The sequence below is a fragment of the Homo sapiens genome, chromosome 20 (assembly GCF_000001405.40).
Source record: "Homo sapiens chromosome 20, GRCh38.p14 Primary Assembly".
NCBI lineage: Eukaryota > Metazoa > Chordata > Mammalia > Primates > Hominidae > Homo > Homo sapiens.
Genome location: NC_000020.11, coordinates 62,026,527 through 62,051,953, shown reverse-complemented (window position 1 = coordinate 62,051,953; position 25,427 = coordinate 62,026,527). Strand labels below are relative to the sequence as shown.

Below are 25,427 nucleotides of genomic sequence, written 5' to 3'. Positions count from 1 at the left end.
GGTGGGAGGCGGCAACCTTGGTTTGTCCAGGAAGGGGTGGCAGATATCCAGAATGGAGCATGTCCTGTGGGTGCAGGTTCCTCACGGGTGGATCTGTTTGTCATCACTGCATCCCTGCTACCCGGGACGCCCCTGAGGTATTGATGGCCTGGCCAGTGATGGCTGCAGGAGGCTTGGCAGGGGCAGCGTTGAGGGCCACAGGCCACCTGCCATGAGGTTCTGAAGTGGTGCCATGGCAGGGGCCAGGCCCCTCAGAGGAGGGACTGTGGGGACTGAGGGACTGTCTTGATGGCTGTGGGGGTCACCGAGCGGATGGGGAGGGAGGGTGGCCTCTGTGGATCAGGGCTCTTGGTGGTGGGAAAACAGGTCTGGGACAGGCCCAGCCCTGTGTCCTATGGCGGTGAGAGGGGTGGGAGTGAACGGTGGATGGGACTCATGCTGCAGGGCCGAGATGACGAAGTTCCCTCTGCACGTGCAGCCTGGGGAGGGCAGTCCCAGGGCCCTGTGGGGAGGGAGCATTGCTGGGTGGCTCCCTGCCTGACAGGAGTATCGTGTGAGAGGAGGCCTGAGAGTAGCCAGGCCGGGCGGTGACGCCCTGTGATTGCTTCAGGCACAGTGGGCCCAGAACCCCCGGTGTCCCACGTCAAGAGCTGAGCACCCTGGGTGTCTGGCCAGTGGGCAGGAAGGGGCCTCTGTGACTGGCTGGGGCGCAGGCCGGGGCCTCGCTGGAACCCTCCCAAGGCTGCCGGTCCCACAGGGGACTTGGTCCCTTCTTGCTCCTCAGCCCCAGCGCCTGCGGGGCTGCCCTGCACCCTGCCTTCCACTTGACACTGGGGGCCATGGGCTGAGGTTCATTTTGGACGTGATTTCCATGGTGATTTCCTCCCTTTCTGAACCTCCTTGTAACTTTTCGAGAGTGTGCTGTTGACTTCAGATGCTTCCCCTGTGAGGGGTGAAAATGTTTTCTTCCCAGCTCTGAGCTGCTCTGTGGGAGGGGCCCTGCCTGGGGTCTCCACTGATTCCCCAGTGCCCAGGGCAGCGTGGGTAGTGGCAGAAAGGGGCCTTGCTGGGTGGGTGCAGGAGGAAGCAGCGCTGGGCATGCCTTGTTCTGGGGGGCCAGGTGTGGGGGTTCTGATCTCTTGGGGCCAATGTGTGTGTGTTTCCTCGGCAGAGGTCCTTTCTGCCGTGACTTCTTCCTTCTGCCTGGAGCCTGGCAGGTGGCTCTGGGTGATGCCTAGATGCCCGTCCTATCAGCAGCAGGGGTGTGCCCTCCCGGGCGGGCCTCTGCTGTTCCGGAGCCCTGTGGCTCTCATGGAGCCTGCACTGGGTTTATTGAACTCTCTTGTCCTTCTCTTCTCTTTTTATTGGGGCTTTGACCATTTAAATTCCTTTACTCTTGTTTTGGTGGGTCTTGCTGGGGAGGGGTGGGGGAGAGAGGAGACTGTGCTGCCAGCACCCCGGGCTGCTCTCAGCGGGTGGGGGCACCTGTCTGGAATCTCCATGTACAAGCACAAGCAGGCATTGTGGCGTTTTGGGAAGAGTCGTCAGAAGTTGCCTCCTATGGGGCAGAGGTGCCAGGAGGAGACTCTTGCTGTGCCCAGGTCCAGACTGGCAGGAGAAGGGAGCGGTGAGTGATGGGACATGGAGTGGTCCATGGGGAGCAGAGCCAGGCCGGGACCCTGGAGGGGAGGATGATGAGAGGCCGAGGATAGGTCATGTGGGGGAGGAGCCCTTCCTTCTGCTGCTGTGCCCTGGTCGCTGCTGTGCAGAACCTTCTGGTCTGCAGTGTCCTCTGGGGGCTCTGGGTGTTACCTGTTTTGACTGTTGTGGCCTCATCTTCATGGAAGGTTGTAGAAAAACAGTTTGTCAGGTGTCCTCCGTGAGTACTTACAACTCCAGCGTGTGACAGTAGGCGTTGGGTGAAGATGGGGTGAGCGGGTGAGGCTGACTCCCTGCCTTGGGGACAGGCTGCTCCGTGGGGCTGCTGTGTGCTCCGTGACAGGTTGGGTTTCTGCAGCAGGTCTGAAGCAGTCACTTTGCTCCAAGCATCTTGAGTGCCGTCGTCTCTGGCACCGTGTTTAGTCTTTGTGACGATGGTGTCGTGAAACCTGCCTAGGGACGAGACACTGAGGCTCGCATTTCTATGAACTGCTCAAGGCCACGTGACTGGTGGGGCCTGGGGCTAGAAACCCGGGCTCTGGAACCTCTGCCCGGGCCCTGCCTCCCTCTGGAGTGACCCTGGTGGCAGCTGTGGACTGCTGGGGAGTTGGGAGTTGGGCTGGGGTGCACGGTGGATGAGGGGCAGGGTGCGGGGCTGGGGCAGGCAGGGATCTGGGCCGTGGTGCTTCTCTGCAGGTGTGAGTATGGGTGTGACTCAGGTAGATGAGACCCAGGACGATGTGGAGAGCAGGGCCTTCCTCTGCAGGCAGTGGGGACCCCTGAAGGCTGTGGAGTGGAAGAGCCAGAAGGTCTGGCCTGGGTTCTAGATGTTGGTCCTGATGACACACTGGAGACAGAATCAGAAAGAGGGCGGTGGTCACTGAGCAGGGGACGCAGAAGTGGGCCTGTGTGTTGTGGCTGCTGGATGCTGGCTGGTGCCAGGCACTGTGTGCGCCTCCCATGCTCACCACTGCCCTGCAGGGCACATGTTTGGGATCCACTTCCTGGACAGGTCACAGACACTCGCACAGAAGCTCAGCCTGGGAACCCCGCTTGCAGGGTCTCGGCACATCCTGATGGTGGGGATAGTGGGGGCAGATGTGGAAGGCGGGCGTGGGCACTGCTGCACCTGGAGAACCAGCAGCCATGATGGGGCTGGTGGGTGGTGCCAGTGGAGGCACAGTGCAGATGCTGCAGCTTGGAGTTGGGGGACGGAGCCTGGTGACCGAGGTGGTCATGCGGGGAGAGGACTGGGGGAGGGGGGATGGAGCCCAGTGACCGAGGTGGGCATGTGGGGAGAGGGCCCAGGGGGGGATGGAGCCCGGTGACCGAGGTGGGCATGCAGGGAGAGGGCCGCGGGACGATGGAGCTTGGTGACCAACGTGGGCATGCAGGGAGAGGGCTGGGGGGAATGGAGCCCGGTGACCGAGGTGGGCATGTGGGGAGAGGGCTGGGGTGGGGGTGTACGGAGCTTGGGGTGTACGGAGCTTGGTGACTGAGGTGGGCATGCGGGGAGAGGGCTGCAGGAGGATGGAGCCTGGTGACCAAGGTGGGCATGTGGGGAGAGGACCAGGGGGCATGGAGCCCAGGGACCGAGGTGGGCACGCCAGGAGAGGGCCCTGGGGGGATGGTGCCTGGTCACAAGGTGGGCATACAGGGAGAGGGCCTGTGGGGATGGAGCCTGGTGACGGAGGTGGGCACGTGGGGAGACGATCCTGCTTAACAGAGGTGTGGCCCCACACGAGGACCCTGGAAGTGCAGTGGGTTTGTGTTGCATGAGAGTGGGAGCACCTCTGTTAGGGGAAGAGCAGGGTCCACCCTGGGGACAGGAGGGAGGGGCTAGCTAGGACCTGCTGGCCAGCTGGAGTCAGGGAGATTCCAGCCAGGCCTTGCAGGTGGCCCTGTCTGTGGTTGTCCTCACTGCTCTGCACTCGGGATGCCCAGCTGAGCAAATCACTTGACAACTCCCATCCTTTCCTAGGTGTGTCCAGGAGGAGCTAGTACAGGGCTGGGCTGCCTCTTGGTTTTTAGAAAAGCATTTGTGGTACAACAGAACTCCCAGAGGCAGCCCCCTTTCTCATCTGGGACTTGGGCAGGCACGCGCCAGCCTGCCCTGTGTGGGAAGGTGCTAGGTATGTCGCAGCCACAGGGAATTGACTCGGCATTGAGCCCCAGGGCTTCAGGGATTTTCAGAGGTGACTTTGAGACTTGATTTCTTCTACACACCCTTCCCCGTATTGTGACTCTGGGTGGGGGACCAGGCATCTTGATGAGGGGGTGGTCCAGTGAGGGTTTGGGTGCTGGGGAGCTAGGTCTGGGATGGCCCTGATGTGGGGCGGTCCCGGGGCAGGGTTGCCGGTGTCAGGCAGCGCCCGTGTTTGAACATCTCGGCGAGGAATCCCGGGTGCTGGTGTTTATAAAAATAGACCTGCGGCTTCCATGGCTGTGTCCTTTTTGGTATGATTGACATTGGATAGCGTGCGTTTGTATTCTGCCGTGTTCCTGTGATGGGAGCCAGGGGCGACTCTTCTCATGGCGAAGTCTGGTTGGTGCTGAAGCATGTTGCATCACCTGGGCTTGACGGTGCGCTCTGCGCTCACGGCAGAGGCAGAGGCTGCAGCATCTTCCGCCACCGTTTCCATCTCTTTTTATGCTATTTCCAGTGTGATGGTGCCTCTAGCGCTGTCCTGAGTGTGGCCTGTTGTGCATGTGATGGGGTCTTCACTTGCCTGTGGACTTACTCTTCTCAGCGCCCCTTTCTTGTGCGGGGGTGGGGAGGGTCTCGCTGTAGAGGGAAGAGGGTAGAGCAGGTGCCCTGAGACTGTGTGATCTCTTCCTTCTAAAGGAGCTCACGAATATTCATCAGCTTTAAGAGAAGTCCATGCTCTGAGTGCCTCGTTAACCAGACCTTGGTGTGACTCTCTCAGAAAAAAAGAATGTTTCTAGAAGGTCAGTGTTTCAGGGGTGTCAGTGCAGGCTGGTGGTGTGACCTCTCGGGGTAAGGAGGGAGCCTGGTCAGCTTTGGGATTGCAGTGGTAGCTACCATAGCCCCATGCTAGTAAGAGTGTGTCCCGCTCATAGTGACACTGAAGTTGTCCTTCTGAAAAGAGAGTAATTGTCGAAGAATAGATGAGTAAAATACAGTGATGGTCTTTATGACTGTGGCTGGAGAAAGATTTCCTAGGATACAAGTAGCATGAACTAATAGGGCAGAAAGTCGATACATAGGACTTCAAAATTAAAGGAAAACTTTTGCTGGTTGACAGACGTTGTTAAGACAATGAAAAGGCAAGCCGTCGACTTGGAGAAAATATTTATATCTAACAAAGAACTGGTGTCCAGAGTACGTAAAGAACTCTCACGACTAAATAACAAGACGACAAACAACGGTTAAAAATGGGCAGAAGGTTTGAATAGACCCAAAAGAAGGTACACAAATGGCTAGCAGGTGTACGAAAAGGTGCTCACATAGTTAGACTCCAGGACATGAAACCCCAGTGGGATGCTGCGGCTGATAACACACCCACCTAAAAACAGCTGGAGTTAAACTGACAGCCATCCCGTGTGTCGGTGGGTGTGGAGGTCCTGGGACCCTCAACGCTGACAGTTAGGAGAAGCGTAAAAAGTTAAGTACTGATTGACCGTGTGCGGCAGCCCCACCCAGGATATTTGGAAAGAACCGAAGTGTCCATCCTGCCATGAGTGGTGACAGGTGATGTGATAGATCCGTATGGTGAGATGCTGCTCAGCTCCACGCAGGAGCGGATCACGACACATGCAGCAATACAGTGAATCTACAAAATTCCCCAGCAGGTGCAAGAAGCCGGGAGGGAAAGACCGCCTATCGCACAATTTCATTTGTATGAAATTCTAGAAAAAGCTAAGCTGGAACAGTTGTGGTTGCCTGGATTGAGGGTGACGTAGTGTGGCATTAGGACATGTTTTAAGCGAATAGAAACGTTTTAAATCTTGATTGTGGTAGTGGTTACACAACTGTATACATTTGCCCAAACTTTTCAAATTGCACACTTAAAATAGGTGGATTTTGTTTTATGTAAACTGTATTTCAGTAAAGCCGTACCAAGTCCCTGGGGCCATGTTCCTTCCTGTTGCCTGTAGCGTGGTGTTTCGGGGAAGGAAAGGCAGTTATGGCTGTGGTTGTCATTTGTGTCTCATTTGTTGGCACAGAATCCCAATCCCAATGTCTGCCGTCTGCTGCACGGGGGCACCGCAGAGCGAGGGCTTTCAGCGGCCTGGCGGGAAACAGCCTAGTTAACTGCCTCTTAAATCTGATGCTGGCTGTGGAACTTTGCATTTCTTTAGGAGAGAATCAGTATTTGGAAGTGTTTGCGTGAGAGAAGGAAAATTTGTTCGTTATAGTTGTGAAAAAGAGGTTACTGCTATTCCTGCAGAGGACACAAATGAGGAGCTGTGTGTTTGGGACCTGTCTGTACCCCGAGCGTCAGTTCTGTCTTCCCTTCGTCCAAGCAGGAGCGTCTGCTCTGGATTAGACGAGAAAGAGTTTTCATGCCCGCCTGCTCTTTCGCCACAGATCTGTTGCGCTCTCCTCAGCGTTCACCCTTTCCAGGAGCAGGTGTGTGGCAATAGCTTATGTAGCCTTACACTCACAAACAAGGCAGTTTTCTGGCTTTTAAATAGTTATTTTCTTTCTGAGTAGTACGTACTCATCCTAGAAAATTTGATAAAGGCAAAAAAGTATGGAAAAGAAACGCATGCTAGTCTGTATTCCTGTCACCAAGGGAGAACTGTAGAACCGAGACCACGGGTGTGTGGCTCAGGCAGCATCGCTGGTTCATCCCACAGCACTCACGGAGTGCTTGCACGTGCAGGGATTCTGCGCCTGTTCTCTGAAGCTTAAACCCAAACAGGCGCGCTGTTGAAAGTTTCACCGCCATCGTCTCCACCAAGCACCTGAAGCGAGTCAAGGGTAGAGAGGAGCGGGCAGGCACGGCAGGCAGGGCTTTCCCAGGAAGGGCAGGGAAGAACATTCCAGACCTTGTGTGGCCGGTGGGGAGGGTGCATGGGCCAGGAGGTGCGGGACGGTTGTCCCTGTGACAGTCCTGAGCGGGGAGCATCCCGATGGGATTCCGTTTGAGCGGCATGGCTTTGCGAGTTCTCTTCCTGCAGTGTGGCTAGACTGTCTCTCCCTACCTGAGGTTATTTACCTACTCACCTGTGTTTTCATGTCGGCGTTGTGAGTTTTCTTTTCCTTGTAGTCACTAATCTGTCCAGGATTAATTTTCATGTGTCACTCAAGGTGGCCTCTTTTCTCCCCCTGGGCTGAGTGGCTTGTCCATTGCCATGTCGGACTGCTCCCTGTGCCCATGGGTCTCCTCCTGGCCTTCGCTCCATCCTGTTTGGTGCCTCTGGTGCAAGACATCAGCCTCATCCTGTATTTCCTGTCCCAGGCCTGTCTCTTCCCGGAGGAGCCTTGGAATGGCATTTAGAGGAAAATGACTCTCGAGCAGTTTCGGCAGCGCTGGGGGTGCTGGTCATGCTGGTCACATTTTTAACACAGCACATTCTCCCCCTCCTGTAAATTCTGTGAAATTGTATTTTTATCTCTTCTCTTGCACAGAAAAGCTTAGATCCTAGTAACATAAACATATTTACTTACTTGGCTTCTGCTACCCTATACTTAAACACAGATTCAGAATTACAACAATAACATGAGAGTAAAGTTTAAGGTTTCTTTGCACTCTTTGTCTTTAGAATTTATTCTTTAAGGATGTTAGATCAGTACTGTGTTCAAAACTCCACTGAAATGATCCTTTTTTGTGTTGGTTATGTTACCAATTTGATACACAATTTAGTTATGTTTTGGTTTGTTTTCAATTTTACTTTTTTTGTTTCATTTTGTATTTTGAGGGTATAAAACATTTATGTGGTTCAAAATACACATACTCGCATGCATACACACATATATTCTTTTTCTCCTATTATAACTAATGTAGCATATACGCTAATTTTTACCTTGACATTTTTTCTTAATATAATCTGGAGATCATCTCTGGTAGCATTTTATTTTAATTGAAAAACTTGAAGTTTTATGTGTAGTACACTCAGGAAATTACTCTGAATAGTGATGCTTTTCTGCATAATTCAAGCACTAAAACTTAAAAAAAATAATTTTGGAAGGAAATAGTTTAAAAAATACATATATTTTTCTCTGCCAAGGCAAAAAGCATATAATAAGCACAAGTTAGCTCTGCCTGGGAATATTGGGCTGGAGACAGGGGAGGCTCAGTCTTAAGGGAAGGCCAGGCAGGGTGGTCTTTGCATTGGTGGGAGGCTGAAGCCTGGGTTAGCTAACGGGCCCTGCCTCTGTGTCTTCCCGTCCAGCCTGCAGTGGGCTTAGAAATACTTCCTGGAATTATGTGTAAACCAGGTACAGTCGCGCGCCACTTAGTGATGGGGATACATTCTAGAAACGCATCATTAGGCAATGTCATCGTTGTGCGAGCATCGTGGAATATACTAACACAAACCTGGATGGCACAGCCTGCTACACTCTTAGGCTGTGTGGTGCGGCCCCTGGCTCCTGGGCTGTAAACCTGCATGGCTTGTGACGTGTACAGTTGTAACACGATAGTGAGTTTGTGTATCTAAACATAGAAAAGGTACAGTAAAACTAGGGGATAAAAGATGAAAAATGGTGCATCTGTGTAGGGCACTCACCATGAATGGCGCTTGCAGGACTGGGTGTTGCTCTGCGGGAGTCTGAGAGGCCTGGGACATGACTGTGCTGCTGTAGGCTCTGGGGCACTCTATGCTTAGGGTATGCTTAGGGACTATGGAATTTATAAAAACACAGTTTTCTTTCTTCAGTAATAACCTTGACTTACTATAACTTTATAAACTTAACTTTTTCAAACTTTTTGACTCTTTTGTAGTAACACTTAGCTTAAAACACAAACACATTATACAGCTGTGCAAAAAAATACTTTCTTTGTATCCTTATTCTGTAAGCTCTGTCACCCAGGCTGGAGTGCAGTGACGCAATCATGGCTTACTGCAGCCTTGACCTCCTGGGCTCAGGAGATCCTCCCACCTCAGGCTCCCGGATAGCTGGAACTACAGGCAGGCGTGGCCACCATGCCGGGCTAATTTTTGTATTTTTTTGTAGGTTTCACCGTGTTGCCCAGACTGGTCTTGGACTCCTGGGCTCTAGCGATCTGCCTGTCTTAGCCTCCAGAAATGCTGGGTTTACAGACGTGTGCCACCACGCCCAGCGAGCTTTTTTCCATTTTTAAAATTATTTATTACTTTTTAAACTTACTTGTTAGAAACAAGACACAAGCACACGTTAGCCTAGGCCTACAGAGTCAGGATCATCCACATCACTGCCCTCCACCTCCAAGTCCCGTCTCCCTGCAGTCTTCAGGGGCAGTAACACACATGGAGCCGTCATCCCTATGATATCAGTACCTTCTTCTGGACTCTTCCTGAAGGACCTGCCTGAGGCTGCTTTACAGTTAACTGTAAGTTTTAATAAGTAGATGCAGTATATTTCTGAAACAGTGATGGGAAGTAGAATGTAGTGAATATGTAAACCAGTAACATTGTTGCTAATTATCATTGAAACAGGAGAGTTCCCTGACCCGCTCTGGGTACTTGCAACAGGGGCTGTGGCTCATTTGCTGGAAGGGGAGCGTGCAGGGGAGCGTGCAGACGGGCAGGTGCAGGAGCCCGGGTGAGCCCTTTTGGGCTCCCGCCCCACAGTAGCACCTAGGGGTAGATTACAATGAATGCTCTTTTAGCAGTTGCCATTCTCAGATGGCTAAGTGTTAACCAGCTCAGCAGAGAGTCAGGCGACAGCCTTTTTCCCCCTGCCCTCTCGGTACCCGAGTCCTTGTGCGGTGTCCAGGAAGAATCAGGTCACACGGACTTGAAGGATGGCATTTGTGGGGATTTTATTGAGTGATGGAGGTGGCCTTCAGTGAGATGGATGAGCTGGCAAGGGGATGGAGTGAGAAGATGATCTTCCTCTGGAGTTCAGCCGTCCCGCAGCCGATCTCCTCCTGGACGGTGCCCAGCCAAACCCCTCTCGACATTCAGACGCTCCTTCTCTTTTCTCCTTCTCTGCTGCGCCACTTTGCTCTCGTCAGTGGAGCTTGGGGTTTATATGGGCACCAGATAGGGGCGTGGCAGGCCAGATTAGTCTTGGAAAAGGCAACATTTGGGCGCGGAAACAGGAATGCCTGTTCCCATTTAGGGCTGCAGGTGTCCAGGCTTGAGGGTGGGGCCTTTGCTGGGAAATTGCCCTCTTCTACCCAGTATTTCCTTGCCTCCTGTCTGTATCATTAGCCAGTATTCTGTATGCTACAGAATTGTATGTGGGAGGGTTTTTTTTTTTTAGGAGATAGGGCCTCACTCTGTCACTCAGGCTGGAGTGCAGTGGTGCCTTGAACTCCTGGGCTCATGTGATCCTCCTGCCTTGGCCTCCCCTAAGTAGCTGCAACTACAGCCACTGTGCCTGGCTGATGTTTCAATTTTTTTTTTTTTTAGAGAGAAGGGCTCTTGCTTTGTTGCCCAGGCTGGTCTTAAACTCCTGGCCTGAGGCAGTCTTCCCATCTCACCCGCTCAAAGTGGTGAGCTACTGCACCTGGTCAGTGTGCCATACTTTTCTTTTTTCTTTTTTTTTTGAGATGGATTCTCGCTCTGTTGCCCAGGCTGGAGTGCAGTGGCGCAATTTCGGCTCACTGCAACCTCTGCCTCCCGGGTTCAAGCAATTCTCCTGTCTCAGCCTCCCAAGTAGCTGGGACTGCAGGCGTATGCTACCACGCCTGGCTGATTTTTTGTATTTTTAGTAGAGATGGGGTTTCACCCTGTTAGCCAGGATGGTCTTGATGGGACCAGCGTCATGTATGCCGTCTGTTATTGCCAGGAGCATCATGATGTGAGGCGTGGCTGTACGTGGAGGCTGACAGTTTGAGGGTAGGGGCTCTCCTTTAAATAGAGGTTAACATGCATAAAAATTCTTGGAGGGGACATAATTTATATACAATAAAATGTCCCCCTTGTAAGTGCACAGATTGAGGATGTCTACCCCCATTTCGTTCAGCCCCCCAGAGGGTCTGCTTGTGCCCTCTGCTGTCGGCCCACAGCCCTGGACGGGAAGGTGTTCTCTGGGCCGCCTCTCGCCGTCGGTGTGGATCTGTCCTTTGGAGCGCTCAGGTCGCTGAAACCCCAGTTGTGTGCTCCCTGGTGTCCGGCTTCCTACTCAGAGTACTTGGAGGGGCATCGTGTGCAACACGTGTCCACAGTTTGTTATTTTTATGGGGAATGGTTTCTGTTTGGATGTACGCTATACATTTGCCAGCTGAGGAGTCTGGCATGTTTCCAGTTTTTGGCTATTACGAATAAAGCTTCTTTTTGAACATTTGTGTTCAAGCCTTTGTGCGAACATACGTGTAGACGTCCTTTTCTTTTGGGTAAATGTTAGGAGTGGAATCGCTGAGTCGTACGGAAGGTGTGAGTTTGGTCTTGTCAGAAACTGCCAGGCTGTGTTCCTGAGCGGCTCTGCGAATTTAGTTTCATCCGCGGGCTCAGTGCTGCTGCCGTGAGATCTTGCTGGCTCTTGGCGTGGCCAGGCTTTTCTGTTTTGCCTATTCTAGTGGGCATGCAGTGTTAGCACATACTACTTTTTAAATCTCCGTTTATGGAGGCGTAGTTGGCGCGTGGCAGAGCGCACCTTTCTCAGCCTGTAGGTCTGTGAGTTTTAACGATAGTCACGTCACCACCACCGTCGAGTACAGGATCGGAATCATTCTGTAGCCTCGTGCCCCTGGGGGTGAGCCCCTGCTCCAGCTTCCTCCCCGGCAGCCACTGAGCTGCTGCTGTCACTGTGATTTTGCCTCTTCTAGAATTTTGTATAAATGAGATTATGTAGTGGGAGCCTCACATCTGGCCCTTTCCCTTGGCGGGATACTTCTGCGTGGTGCCCAAGTGGTGTGTCGTGTGCGTGCCAGTAGCTGGTTCCTTTGCGTTGCTGAGCAGCATCCTGGTGTGCGGCTGGACCGCAGGTGATCTGGTTACCAGTTGATGGGTATTTGGGTTGTTTCTAGCTTTTGATTATTATGAGCAATGCTTCTATGAATGTTTCCTATAAATCTTTATATGAACATAAGTTTTTCTTTGTCTTGGGTAGATAACTAGGGGTGGGATTGCTGAATATGGCAAATGAATATTAATTTCTGAAGGAACTCCAAAGTGGCTGTCCTGTTTTGCATTGTGTCTCACCAGCAGCGCATAAAGGTTGACATCCTTGCGGAAAGCTGGTATGGTCAGTCTTGAATTTTAGCCTTTTCGATGGGTGCCGTGCCATTATGTTGTGGCTTTGATTTGCATTTCCCTAGTGACTAATGCTGAGCGTCTTTCCACCAGCTTATTTGCTCATTTGCCTATCTTCTTTCGGGAGGTGTCTTTTCAAATCTTTTGTCTGTGTGTTTTAAATTGGGTTGTTAGTTTTGTCATTATTGATTTAGTAAGAGTTTAAAATGTATTTTCTAGATGTAAGTAATTTATCAGATAGAATTGTTCTGTAACTATTTTCTTGGTCTGTGTTTGCCTTTTCTTTTAGCTGCATGCGTTTTAAAGTGCAAGTTTTCAATTTTAAGGAAGCCCAATGTATCATTTTAAGAATTCATTTTGTGCCTTCTTAAATAAATCCAGTGTATCATTTTAAGAATTCGTCCTGTGCCTTCTTAAATAAATCCAGTGAGTCATTTTAAGAATTCATCTTGTGCCTTCTTAAATAAATTTTTGCCTAACCCAAGGTACAGGAGTTTTCTAGAATGCTTATGGCTTTAGCTCTTACTCAACCCAATTCAAGTTAATTTTGGGAGAGTTGTAAGGTAGGGGGTTGAGACTCATTTTTTCTGTGGTTACCAATCATGCCAGCCTTATGTGTTGAGGAGACCTTCCTTTCTCTATTGAACGATGCTGCTGCCTTTATTGAAACTCAGTCGGCCACGTGTGAGGACGTCACTTCTGGGATGTGTTCTGTCCACTCATGTCCTTGTCTTCCCTTCTGCAGCTCAGCACTTTCCAGCCCATTTAGAGGGAGTGTTGATGGGTGGCAGGAGTCCTCCAGTGCTGCTTTTTCGAAAACGTTGAGGGCTGTTCTGGTCGTTTGCATTCATGTGTTTCAGAATCAGTTCGTCAACTTCTACAAAAAAAGCCTCTTGATACCTTGATAGCTTTTTGTTTGTTTTGAGACGGAATTTTTCACTCTTTCACATCTTTTCCTGGAGTGCAGTGGCACGATCTTGGCTCACTGCAAGCTCCGACTCCCGGGTTCAAGTGAGTCTCCTGCCTCAGCCTCCCGAGTAGCTGGGATTACAGGCACGTGCCACCACACCCGGCTAATTTTTGTATTTTTAGTAGAGATAGGGTTTTGCCGTGTTGGCCAGGCTGGTCTTGAATTCCTGACCTCAGGTGATCCGCCTGCCTCAGCCTCTCAAAGTGCTGGGATTACAGGTGTGAGCCACTGGGCCTGGCCAATACCTTGATATCTTGCTTGGGATTGTATTGAGTCTATAGATCGGTTTTATGATCATTGATATCTTAGCAATATCGAGTGTTCTGATTCACGAACGTGTTGTACCTCTTCATTGATTTAGGCCTTTCAGGATTTTTCTCAGGGTTGTTTCAAGTTCTCAGTGTTTGTATCCTGAACATACTTTGTTAAATTTATTCTTAAGTATTCATATTTTATGCCATGTACGTGGTCCTTTAAAAAATTTTGTTTCCAATTGTTGCCAGTATTTAGAAAAACAATTGCTTTTGGCCGGGCGCGGTGGGTCAGTGGCTCGGTGGCTCAGTGGCTCATACCTGTAATCCTAGCACTTTGGGAGGCTGAGGCGGGCGGATCATGAGGTCAGGAGATTGAGACCATCCTGGCTAACACTGTGAAACCCTGTCTCTACTAAAAATACAAAAAATTAGCTGGGCATGGTGGCACACGCCTGTAGTCCCAGCACTTTGGGAGGCCGAAGCTGGTGGATCACGAGGTCAGGAGATCGACACCATCCTGGCTAACACTGTGAAACCCTGTCTCTAGTAAAAATACAAAAAATTAGCCGGGCGTAGTGGTGGGCTCCTGTAGTCCCAGCCACCTGGAGGCTGAGGCAGGAGAATGGCATGAACCTGGGAGGCGGAGCTTGCTGTGAGCCGAGATCGCGCCACTGCACTCCAGCCTGGGCGACAGAGTGAGACTCCGTCTCAAAAAACCAAAAAAAAAACAACAAAAAAATTGCTTTTAAAAATAGTGACTTTATAGCTCTTCCCCAAGCGGCCTGAGATGATCTGTGAAAATGGTTCATTAGTCACTTGACCCAGAAATCCCCACAAAATCGTGCAAATCCAGAGGTTCAGGTCTTCTTGATCACTTTAAGAACGCTCGTGAAACTGCCCAGGCCATCAAGGGTATGCATACGTGAGAAGTCACCAAGTGTCTGAAAGACGTCCCTTTATAGAAACAGTGTATGCCATTCCGACTTGGCAGGGGTGGAGCTGGCAGGTGTACCTAGGCCAAACAGTGGGGCTGGACACAGGGTTGGTGACCCGAAAAGAGCGCTGAATTTTTGCTGCACACAATTAAAAATGTGGAGAGTCACACTGAATGTGAGGGTGTAGATGTAGGCTCTCTGGTGTTTGAGCACCCAGGATGCGCTGTGGGACTTCCAGGGCTGGTGGTCGGGTTCATCCATACAGGGCGCCCCGTCACATTGAGACGATCCTCACGGTAAAGACACTTGTTCCCAAGCCAGGTGAGGAAGTTGCACAGAGGAAAACTGTACCAGAAGAAACTGAAGAAACAAAAACTTGTGGCATGGGAATAAACTCAGCATACAATAAATGCAATTAAAATAAAAAAAATTGACTTTATATCCTGTGGATTTCTTAGGATTTTCTTCAAAGATAGGCGTGATCTGCAGTAAAGAGTGGTTCATGTCTTTTTTTCTGGTCTGTGCACCTTTTATTTCTTGTTCTTGTCTCATTGCACTGGCCACAACCTCCAGTGTAATATGACAAACAGAAGCGTTGAGAAGGGACATTTTGCCTTGTTTCTGATCTTGGGGGAGGCAGTCTGTCTTCTCTCATGACGCACATGATGTCAGCTGCAGGTTTTTCATAGAGGCCCTGTGTTAGGTTGAGGAATCCCCTTCTGTCATAGGCCATTCTGGCTGCTGTAACAAAATACCATAGACTGGGAGGCTTCTAGACACCGGAAATTCATTTCTCACAGTCCTGGGAAGTGCAAGATTGCCATGCTGGTGAGGGCCTGCTGCCTGCTCCCATGCAGCTTCTTGTGTGTCCTCAGAGTGTGGAAGGAAGGGGCAAGGCAGCTGTGGGACAGGCTCTTTCATAAGGGCGCTAATCCGGTTAATGAGGGCTGGGCCCCCAAAGTCCCCCCGCTTCTGCTACCATCACCTTGGGGATTGGGTTTCAGCATATGAATTGTGATGGCATTCAGTCTATGCACCTTCTTTTCCTAGTTTGGTGAGAATTTTTGTCGTGAGTGGATGTTTATTTTTGTTAAAATGCTTTTCTTCCTGTATTGGGATGCTTGTATGGTTTTTCTTTTTTAGTCTGTTAACATGGTGAATTACACTGATTTAATTTTGAGTGTTAAACCCTGGCGAGTTCCTAGCATAACCCCTGTTGGTCACATGTATTATCCTTTTTATATACAGTTGCATGCAGTTTGCTACAGTTTGGTGTGTAGGTTCAGGAGGGATACTGGCCTGTCATTTCCTTGCAGTTTGTCTTGCAGTACTGCATGAGTAATGTTAGTTGCAACAGTTCACTTGCCTCCCAGCAGTTTCTGTTATTTTATATCCTTGATAGCACTGGGTGTTGTCAGACTTTTCAATTCCTCGAATCTGGGGGTGTAAAATGCTCTGATAGTGTTGTCTTAATTTTCACTTAAAAATTAATTAATGAGCCAGGCGCGGTGGCTCACGCCTGTCATCCCAGCACTTCGGGAGGCCGAGGCGGGTGGATCACCTGAGGTCAGGAGTTCGAGACCAGCCTGGCCAACATGGTGAAACTCCATCTCTACTAAAAATACAAAAAATTAGCCGGTTGTGATGGCGGGTACCTGTAATCCCAGCTACTCAGGAGGCTGAGGCAGGAGAATCGCTTGAACCCGTGAGCGGGAGGTTGCAGTGAGCTGAGATTGCGCCACTGCACTCGAGGCAGGGCAACAAGAGCAAAACTCTTTTTTTTTTTTAAAAAAAAAAAGAAATTTGATTAATTTCCTTTAATTCCTTAATGAAAATTAATTTCATTTAACTTCTTTTCCTTTAATATAGAGGAAATTAATTTTCTATGTTTATTGTTTGTGGGTAACCTTCTGTGAAATGTCTGTTTGTGTCTTTTTGCCCCGTTTTCTTTAAATTATTTCGTATTAATTATAGGAGTTCTGTGCATATTCTGGTTACTGTTCCTTTGTAGGTCATCTGTATATGGCCAGTATCTTCTTCCAGTTTATATCTGATCTTTTCACTTTCTTTATGGTGTCTTCTGACGAATAGGACTCCTTGATTTTACTGTAGTTGAATGTATCTATTGTCTCCTTTTTGGTAAGCTTTTTCAAGTCATCTTTAAGAAGTCCTTTCTAACCCGAAGGTAATAGGAATAGTCTTCTGTATTTTCTTCTAAAATGATAGCTTTTGCTTTTGCTTTTAAGTATGTAATCCTCCTGGCATGGGGTTTGTGTGTGGTGTGAGTTAGAGCTCCATTTTCATTTGCCTCCTATTTGGATTGACAGTTGTCCTGGTGTTATTTATTTGAATGGTCCTTCCTCACCTCTGTGGTCTCCATGGCCCGTCTGTAACATTTCAGGTTTTATATTATGTGGCATCCGTTTCTAGCCTGTCGGTTGTTTTCTCTTGGTTTATCTGTCTGTCCTTTCATCAGTAGCATCCTGTCCTTAAATAATTTAGCTCCATACTAATTCTTGATATCTACTAGAGGTAATACTCCATTCTGTTGCTTTTGAGAATTGTCTGTGCAACTCTTGGCACTTTGATCTTCCTTATAAATTTTAGAATCAACTCTTCGGGGCCCATAAAAGTCCTTGTAGGTTATTTTAATTGAAGTTGTATCAATCTGTGGGTCAATTTTGGGAGAACTGAAATCTATGGGCCGGGTGCGGTGGCTCACGCCTGTAATCCTAGCACTTTGGGAGGCCCAGGCAGGCGGATCATGAGGTCAGGGGATCGAGACCATCCTGGCTAACATGGTGAAACCCCGTCTCTACTAAAAATACAAAAAATTAGCTGGGCATGGTGGTGGGTGCCTGTAGTCCCAGCTACTCGGGAGGCTGAGGCAGGAGAATGGCGTGAACCCGGGAGGCGGAGCTTGCAGTGAGCCGAGATTGCGCCACTGTACTCCAGCCTGGGTGACAGAGCGAGACTCCATCTCAAAAAAAAAAAGAAATCTATGAGATAGTGACTATATCCATGAATATGGTATATTACTCTATTTACATATTTTGTAATATTTTTCAATCAAGTTTTATGTGTCTTTTTCATATAGGTCTTACACATATTTTGTTAGATATGTGTAGGGCATTCCAGGACATTCTGAGTTCATTGCTGCTATTTTAAGTATTTTTTTTAAACACATTTTCTGGCTGGGAATGATGGCTCATGCCTGTCATCTCAGCACTTTGGGAGGCTGAGATGGGAGGATTGCTGGAGGTCAGGAGCTTGAGACCAGCCTGAGCAACATAGTGAGAACCCCTGTCTCTACAAAAAATTAAAAAAAAATTTAGCCAGGTGTGGTGGTGCATGCCTGTAGTCCCAGCTACTCAGGAGGTTGGGGTGGGAGGATCGCTTGAGCCCAGGAGTTTGAGGCTACAGTGAGCTATGATTGTGCCACTGCACACTAGCCTGGGTGACAGAATGAGACCCTTGTCTAAAAATAAACAAAAAATTGCGTTTTCTAATTCTTCTTTGATAGTGTGTTGAATCGCAGTTGAATTTTGGATATTGATCTTACTCTAGCACTCTTCAACTCTTCCATTAAAAATTTGCAATTTTTTGAGGGTCGCACCTAGAGAATTTATTACATGCAATTAATGACAATTGTATTTCACTGACGTCCTGTGCTTCATTCCCTTGTTGTCTTCTGGTATTGGGCTTGTTGGGGTCTCAGGTGTAGTGTTGAGGGGAAGTTAAGGAAGTTCTTTCCCACTCATTTTCTTTTTTTTTTTTTTGGAGACAGAGTCTTGCTCTGTCGCCCAGGCTGGAGTGCAGTGGCGCGGTCTTGGCTCACTGCAAGCTCTGCCTCACGGGTTCACGCCATTCTCCTGCCTCAGCCTCCCAAGTAGTAGGGACTACAGGCGCCTGCCACCATGCCCAGCTAATTTTTTGTATTTTTAGTAGAGAAGGGGTTTCACCGTGTTAGCCAGGATGGTCTCGATCTCCTGACCTCGTGATCCACCCGCCTTAGCCTTCCAAAGTGCTGAGATGACAGGCGTGAGCCACCTCACCTGGCCCTTTTTCTTTTTTTTTTTTTTTTGAGACGGAGTCTCACTCTTGTTGCCCAGGCTGGAGTGCAATAGCACAATCTCATCTCACTGCAACCTCTGCCTCCCGGGTTCAAGCAATTCTTGTGCTTCAGCCTCCCGAGTAGCTGGGATTATAGGCATGCGCCACTATGCCTGGCTAATTTTTGTATTTTTAGTAGAGACGGGGTTTCGCCATGTTAGCCAGGCTGATCTTGAACCCCTTACCTCAAGTGACCTGCCTGACTTGGTCTCCCAAAGTGCTGGGATTACTGGCGTGAGCTACCCTGCCCAGCTCCCACTTCTTATTTTCTGAAGTTGCTTTCTGTTTGCTTTTCTTGGGGCAGGGGATATTTGTTAGTTTGTCTCAATGGATGTTGGATCGTATCAAATGCCTTCCTATTATTTAAAACCCACCAGGGCCCTTGTTAGCTCCTTTGTCCTGCCACCTCCCTCTTCTGCCTTGGTCTCTGATTCCTGCCACACACGCATCTTGGCAGGTGGCTCCCCTTGTTGCTTCATGGAGAGCACCAGAGCCATCCGCTGGGGGCTGAGGCCACCCTGCCTGACCCCGCCCTGCTGAGAGCTGAGGGATCTCATCTGTGGCCTCACTCTTCTCCTGTGGGTGGCCCTCTGCCCTGCTCTTCCTAGGTCACTCCCTCACCGTATCCTTGCTGCTTTCTTTGCCCTCCTGCCTCTCACCACGTCCAGACAGCTGCCTCCCCTCTTTTTTTCCCCCCGCATCCATCATTTCCCAGCTGCTTCCTTCGAGAAGCCAGTCTCGGTGCTCAGATGAGGCCAAGAAGATCTGCTGGTGGCAGGTTCTTAGAGGGCTGGGCAGCTTCCCTTCCTAGCATAGACTGATGAATCGGATTGATCGGAAGCTCTAGGAGGGTGTGTACCATCCACATGTGTTTCTGATTTGGGGCCAGTGCCCAGTGTGTGCTGGTTGGCCACCGGCTGCTCAGAGCCCCTGCTTTGCTGTCTCCCTGCCAATGTGTTCTGATAAGTGAGGTTGTCTGAAAGTTGGGTTCTGGAGAACTGACGTTTTGCTGTAAGTCATTTAAGGTCCATGTCATCTGCCAGCTGACCTCAGTTTTCTTGAAATTGTGCATGGGATTGGCACTATTTAAAACATTTTGAAAGTAAGCAGAACATTGGGAGTTGAGTGCTGGGGATGTGGTTTCAGGTGCTGAGAGCCGAGGCCCTGGTGGGCCACCGGGCCTTCTGGAAGCCCATCCTCTGCAGACAGCAGGCGCTGCCTGTGGCCCCGAGCTCCTCTTCTTGCCACTGGCACTCTCAGATTGGTCTCCCTTCCCCAGCCTCTGTGGATAAAGCTGCCTTAAAACACAGTGAACATGTGGAAGAGAAGCGATGCTTGTTGCCATCTGGACAAACGTGTAGACTTTAGGTTAGAGAAGTCCTGTGTCCTGGCCCATCAGGGGACACAGAAACTGCTGAGATGGTAGCTCAGGGAGCAGGAGTTCGGGGGTGGAGGGAATCTGAGCATGGTCCTTGTCCTCTCAGAAAAGCAGAGCCGACTGCTTGCAGAGTTGACTGCCCCCACCGCTGGCCTGGAAGCACCATCCAAATGGTGACTTCACTAACTGTTTTTAAGTTAGCAGATCAAACGTATCCAAATATGTGAAGTCTTAACATGGAGACTCCAGAGGTGCTGAGATACTGCTGGCTTCAGGAAGAGTGCGAGATGGGAGGTGCAGGCTCGCAGAAGGACAGTGCTGCGGGGGAGCTCTGAGGAAAGGAGGGTTGTTTCCTTCTTGCTTGCTGATGGTGAGAAGAATCTGGAACTTTTGTTTGGAAGTGTCCTGTGCGTTCCGTGTCTCGGTGTTGCTGGGCCAGCTGCCCTCTTCCCGGGCTGTTCCACGGGGCCTTCCCTGCGAGCCCCGTCTCCGGGTGCCAGGGGCTGCATGCCCTGCACCCCGGCGTCTCCCTGGGGTTTTGGTGGGAGCCTTTGCTTGTTGATTATTTTATTTGTTGACACATGTGCTTACTCTAGTAAGAACTTACGGTGACTAAGAAAAGTACTCATAACCCAAGAAGATATGATTAATGAGAAAGTGAGGGGAGAGGGAGAATAGAGTGAAAAACGCCCACCTTGGGCTCTGTTCAGCTGCTAGTGGAGTAGGGTAGGGGGAGGCTGGGAGGTGGGCACAGAGTTGGAACTGAGCTCTCAGTCAAGGCAAAGGGAATGCCCAAAGTGTCATTTGAATGAATTCAGAATCTGCAGATGAAAGAGCACATGTTAAAATTGTGCAGAAGTGAAGGCTCTCTGTTAGTGCAGGATTTTTAGAGTCTTGGGAGTTAAATATGTGCAGATGAATATGCTTTATCCTGAGGTTTAGCAAAGTGTCGAGAAGGCACCCTGGGCCCAGCCAGCATGCTCACTGCTGTCGGCGGAAGCGAGCACAGCCTGATTCTGCACATGCTGGGCCTCAAGGTGTGCGGTGCCTGGAGGACGAGGGCTTGGACGCCCAGCCTGGAGCAGCCTGGCCACGTTCCGACCTTGGACCCAGGCTCCCTGAAAGAGGGAGTCAGTGAAGTCACATGAGGCTTGTGGGTTTCAGAGATTTTAGAAACCTGAGAAAATTAGAAACCAGGAATGGCTGAGAATATAAGGGAAGGCTTCACGAAGGCAGAAGTGATACCAGGTGCTCAGTGTTTTCAACAGAAGCCTTTCACCTAAAGCCGTGGAGAAAAACCTGCCTGAGACCAAGTGCAAGTCATTTCCTGTTTGTTGCATGTTGTGTCTGTCAAATAGACTCAGGCATTTCAGGAAGCTCAGGTGCAGTTGGGCAAGTGAATTGAGTACTGAGAAGAGGTGAAGGAGGCCATCGTATTGTGGAGGTGGTGGGGTACGGAGAGCCTCCTGAATCAGGCCCTGCCACGTGTTTATCCATGAGGTTCCACATCTGTGCTGTGTGGCCCTTGGTGTTGCTTTCGTGGTCACCTGATACATTTTGTGGGGCCAGTTTAAAAAGTAGATAAGACAATTCAACATTATTGGCAACTTAGTAAAGTTTTTGGACGAAATTTGTTTTCAAAAAATTATTACTCTAAGCATGTTAATTGGAAAATTGGAGGCTGTACTGAGGTGTGTGGAGTAGGGCAAGCAAGACCCTTCCCAGCACTGTCCAGCCCATCCTGCGAGTGCGTCCTCTGGCTTCAGGGCTAATTGAAAATGTGCTTCGAGGCACGACAGGCCGCAGTGGGGTGTGACAGTTAAGAAAAAGCCGAAATGGGCACTGCTGGGCAGGGTAAACTTTATTAACTGTTGAATGACTGGAAAATCATTTTAATGTTTCAGAGCTGTTTTAAATTATGTGTCTGTCTACGCATGAAAGCGAATCTAAATTAGTATTGGGCTTTGGCATGAAAAGGCTGTGGTGTCCTGACTCTGGGTGGTGACGTCTGTGATGCTTGTGATGCTGCTGTGTCGTCCTATCCAGGACACCAGAAACTCAGATTCGTTGCCTGCACTGACCGGGCACTGTGGAGATGCAGGTGTCCAGTTTCCTGGCGGGCTCGTTGGCGTCCCTGCCTGTGATTCCGCTCCCTGGAGTGCTGCAGAGGCCTCTGCTGCCTCCTCTCCTTGTGCACGTGGCCGCACACCCCTATCGGGGCTCTGGCCCGCTGCGCTGCTCGCCTGGCCTCGCAGCGCTGGCATTGTGCGTCTTTCCTCCACCTGGCCAGCTCCTGACACCCACATGGGCAGCTTCACCGTGACCATGCCCCTGCGGCGCACTGTTCTTCCTTCTGGCCCAGCCCTGAGGCTTCCCCTGACCACTGTGGGTTACCTGTGCCTGCCATTCTTTTTTTTGTTTTTTTTGAGACGGAGTCTTGCCGTGTCACCAGGCTGGAGTGCAGTGGCGCGATCTCGGCTCACCGCAAGCTCCGACTCCCGGGTTCAAGCGATTCTCTTGCCTCAGCCTCCCAAGTAGCTGGGATTACAGGTGTGTGCTCCCACGCCCAGCTAATTTTTGTATGTTTAGTAGAGGCGGGGTTTCGTCATGTTGGCCAGGCTGGTCTCGATCTCCTGACCTCGTGATCCGCCTGCCTCGGCCTCCCAGAGTGCTGGGATTACAGGCGTGAGCCACCACTCCCAGCCTGCATTCCCATTCTTTACCAGACTGTCAGCTCCTGGAGGCCAGGAGTCAGGCCTTCCTTACCCCGCCCCACCACGGCAGCCCCAAGTACAGGTGATTGGATGGAGTGTGCATGTATGAGTGTGTGTGTGTGTGTGTGTGCGCGCGCGCGCACGTGGGCACTGGGCCCTGGTGCTGCAGAGCTAGCAGGGCTCCCTTCGAAGGGCTTCTGTGTCAGAGTTTACCAGGAGTCCCACTGTTTACCTTGTTACTCCACTTGCCCACCGCCCCCAAGTGGAGATTATCACACAGAGTTGCATGTCTAGATAGCAAAACAGTCCTTGCCTCCGAGTTTTATCTTGCAAAATTTCAAACTTAAAAGAATGAGTACAACAAACAGCTATGTACACCTTCCCTAGATCCATTAATTCCTAAGTTTTTTTTTTTTTTTTTGAGACAGAGTCTCGCTCTGTCGCCCAGGCTAGAGTGCAGTGGCGCGATCTTGGGTCACTGCAACCTCTGCCTCCTGGGTTCACACCATTCTCCTGCCTCAGCCTCCTGAGTAGCTGGGACTACAGGCGCCCACCACCGTGCCCGGCTAATTTTTTGTATTTTTAGTGGAGACGGGTTTTCACTATGTTAGCCAGGATGGTCTCGATCTCCTGACCTCGTGATCCGCCTGCCTTGGCCTCCCAAAGTGCTGGGATTACAGGTGTGAGCCACTGCGCCTGGCCCATGAATTCCTAAGTTTTGAGCAAAGCAGTTTTAACCTGTAGCTGACACAGGGGTTGGTATTTATGGGATGCAAGCCTGTGCCTTTGTTGAGTATCATTGGAGGCTTAGGCAGGTGCTTTATGGCACTCCTGAATGTGAGCTCACTGTCGGGAAGGAGATCTGTGTTGGAGGTCAGGTGGATGCCAGCCTCACTGAAGGCTGCTCACGAGCTTTTTAGAAGCAGCTTTGGGTTGAAGTTTGCAGCAGGGCTCTGCTCCCAGGCTGTGGCTTGACAGACACGCATGTGCACTGTACCTGTTCACGGAGGTGTGTCCATGTGCTAAGAATTTCCTAAAGTGATGGCGCCAGATACAGTCGCCCCGCAGTGTTCTCGGGATGGTTCCAGGGCCCCGTACGCACATACAAGTTCCCTGTGGAACCCAAGCGAGCAAAACGTCAGCCCTCTGTGTACGTGGGTTTCATGTCCTGTCAATGCCGTATCTTCAGTCCTTGCTTGGTTGAAAAAAATCTGCATGTAAGTGGACCCTGGAAGTTTGACCCATGTTTTTCAAAGGTCAACTGTAATATCCTGAAGTATTTTTACCAAAATACCTCAGCCATTTAAAGTTAACTTAAAGAGAATTCAATTCAAGGAGGTAGCATTTTTTTGGGGGGTATGTTTGAGTTTCCAGAAGCCCTGGTAGGCAAAAAGGCCAGAACCCGTGTGTTGGGTGGGTCTGTCCCTGTTGGTCACTCTGACCGGCCCCCCTTAGCACCTCCAGCATCCCAGAGCAGGTGCGGCTCCTGGGTGTCCAGGCCTCTGCTCAGTGCTTTAGGGAGGCTCAGCTGCAGGAGCAGAGCACGTGTGGGACCCTGCACCATGGAGAGGTGGCTGTGAGCAATCAGATGGCTTAGAAGCTGCTTTTACAACCTGGAAAATGCAATTCAGAATGATACAACTCCTGGCCTGGCTGACTGGTTGCACGACCTAGGCCGCCGAGGTGAGGGGAGAGCAGCCCACCCAGCAGGGAACTGAGAGGGGTCAAGGGGCAGGCGGGAGGCTGTTTCTCAGTCACTGTTTCTTTGCCCCGTGCGCATGGAGCGATGTGGGCCATGCCTGCTGTGCCCTCCGTTGTGTGTTGAGGGCTTGGTGACAGTCAGTGTTGCATAAACACCTCTTGAATGAATATGTGATTTAGATGTTTGTGAGGTAAAGTTAATGATTTTTTTAGGAATCCAATGCAGAAAATTAATTATTTGCCAAGGTTATTTTATCCTGTTCTGAAAATGGATAAATTTGACACAGTTCCAGTAGTATGGTTTTGTGGTTGGCAGGAGAAACGGAGACAGGTAAGGAATTAGCATATACGGTGGGAGAGGATGGGCCTGGGGTAGGCACAGCACACCTGTGCATTCACTAAACTTTTCTCCAATCTGTTCATTTGTGTGAACTTAAGAGATTTAATCCCTGAGCCCAGGGAGCTTGCGTTGAGGGGGGAGACAGACGTTAGGGAATGACTAAATCACAAAACAGTCACCGAATTGCAACTGTGATAATGCCAAGGGGGAGGAGGGACTGTGTAGGCCGATGCTGAAGGCTGGGTGAAGGTTTTCCAGGGGCAAGTCCCATCAGTCACAGTGCCCGTTTAGGGTTTGCACCTTGCTCTTTTGACGACGCTGCTCGGCTCTCAGGGCTGCGAGGCTGGCTTCTTCCCAAACTTCATTCCACTCCAGGTTTCTGCACTGGGCCCTGAGAGCCACATCTGGCCATCACTACAGATGCACTTTTGCAGTGCCTCTGCATTTTGAGGTGAAAGACAGTCTTTAAACTTCAGGGTGAACTTCTCACTCGGAGTTTGGTGTATTGTTGCCATTTCTTTTGTGTTGATTTGCACGTAGCTCTTTTGTACACAGGCACGAGGGTAAGCATTCCTGTTGAGTCGCAGAGGAATTAACGAGTGAAACAAATCATGAGTAGAAGTCTCCACGGGTTGGTGTTTTAACTTTGCTCTAAGGTGAGCAACTGCGTATTTGTGAAATTTGGCCAAATGATGAGGGGATGCTGAGTTGGCTGACTGCTGTGCAGACCACCTAAGGAATAAGGATAAATCCTAGAATCAGAGCCCGGGGGAGAGTGTTGGGCCCAGCTCTCCACTCACGGGGCGGCAGCAAGCCGTGGGTGGGTTGGTGGAGGCCCCATTTCTGCCTGCGGAGCAGAGCTGCTGATCCTTCAGGAGAGGCTGCTCTTTCCTGTGCCGAGTGTGGCCTGCTGGATTCGTGTTTCTGCGGAGCCTGGCTTTCCAGAGGGTGTGGAGGGTGCGCGCAGTCTGTCCACCTGCGGCTTTGTGGAGATGGGGGCTGGAGCCAGCTCCCACAGAGCTGGTACTTTGTGGCCTGCTCCTCAGGCC

General features: G+C 50.3%; 1 protein-coding gene and 1 pseudogene across 2 annotated transcripts in view, besides 4 other annotated features; both read left to right on the top strand.

The window, feature by feature from the left end:
* TAF4 (TATA-box binding protein associated factor 4) overlaps positions 1 to 25,427 on the top strand; it is a 91,084-nt gene that overhangs the window by 13,928 nt on the left and 51,729 nt on the right. The window lies entirely within an intron of this gene.
* Positions 3,910 to 4,508: an enhancer, noted in NCBI's record as "H3K27ac-H3K4me1 hESC enhancer chr20:60622502-60623100 (GRCh37/hg19 assembly coordinates)". NCBI's record gives its function as "activates a minimal SCP1, AML or CMV promoter by ChIP-STARR-seq in naive H9 embryonic stem cells {active_cell/tissue: H9 hESC(naive)}" and the evidence as "EXISTENCE:reporter gene assay evidence [ECO:0000049][PMID:30033119]".
* On the top strand, positions 13,978 to 14,562 carry RPL17P48 (ribosomal protein L17 pseudogene 48; annotated as a pseudogene).
* Positions 20,609 to 20,678: an enhancer, noted in NCBI's record as "active region_18196". NCBI's record gives its function as "activates an Ori minimal core promoter by ATAC-STARR-seq in GM12878 lymphoblastoid cells {active_cell/tissue: GM12878}" and the evidence as "EXISTENCE:reporter gene assay evidence [ECO:0000049][PMID:35858748]".
* Positions 20,719 to 20,778: an enhancer, noted in NCBI's record as "active region_18195". NCBI's record gives its function as "activates an Ori minimal core promoter by ATAC-STARR-seq in GM12878 lymphoblastoid cells {active_cell/tissue: GM12878}" and the evidence as "EXISTENCE:reporter gene assay evidence [ECO:0000049][PMID:35858748]".
* Positions 23,314 to 23,949: an enhancer, noted in NCBI's record as "H3K4me1 hESC enhancer chr20:60603061-60603696 (GRCh37/hg19 assembly coordinates)". NCBI's record gives its function as "activates a minimal SCP1, AML or CMV promoter by ChIP-STARR-seq in naive H9 embryonic stem cells {active_cell/tissue: H9 hESC(naive)}" and the evidence as "EXISTENCE:reporter gene assay evidence [ECO:0000049][PMID:30033119]".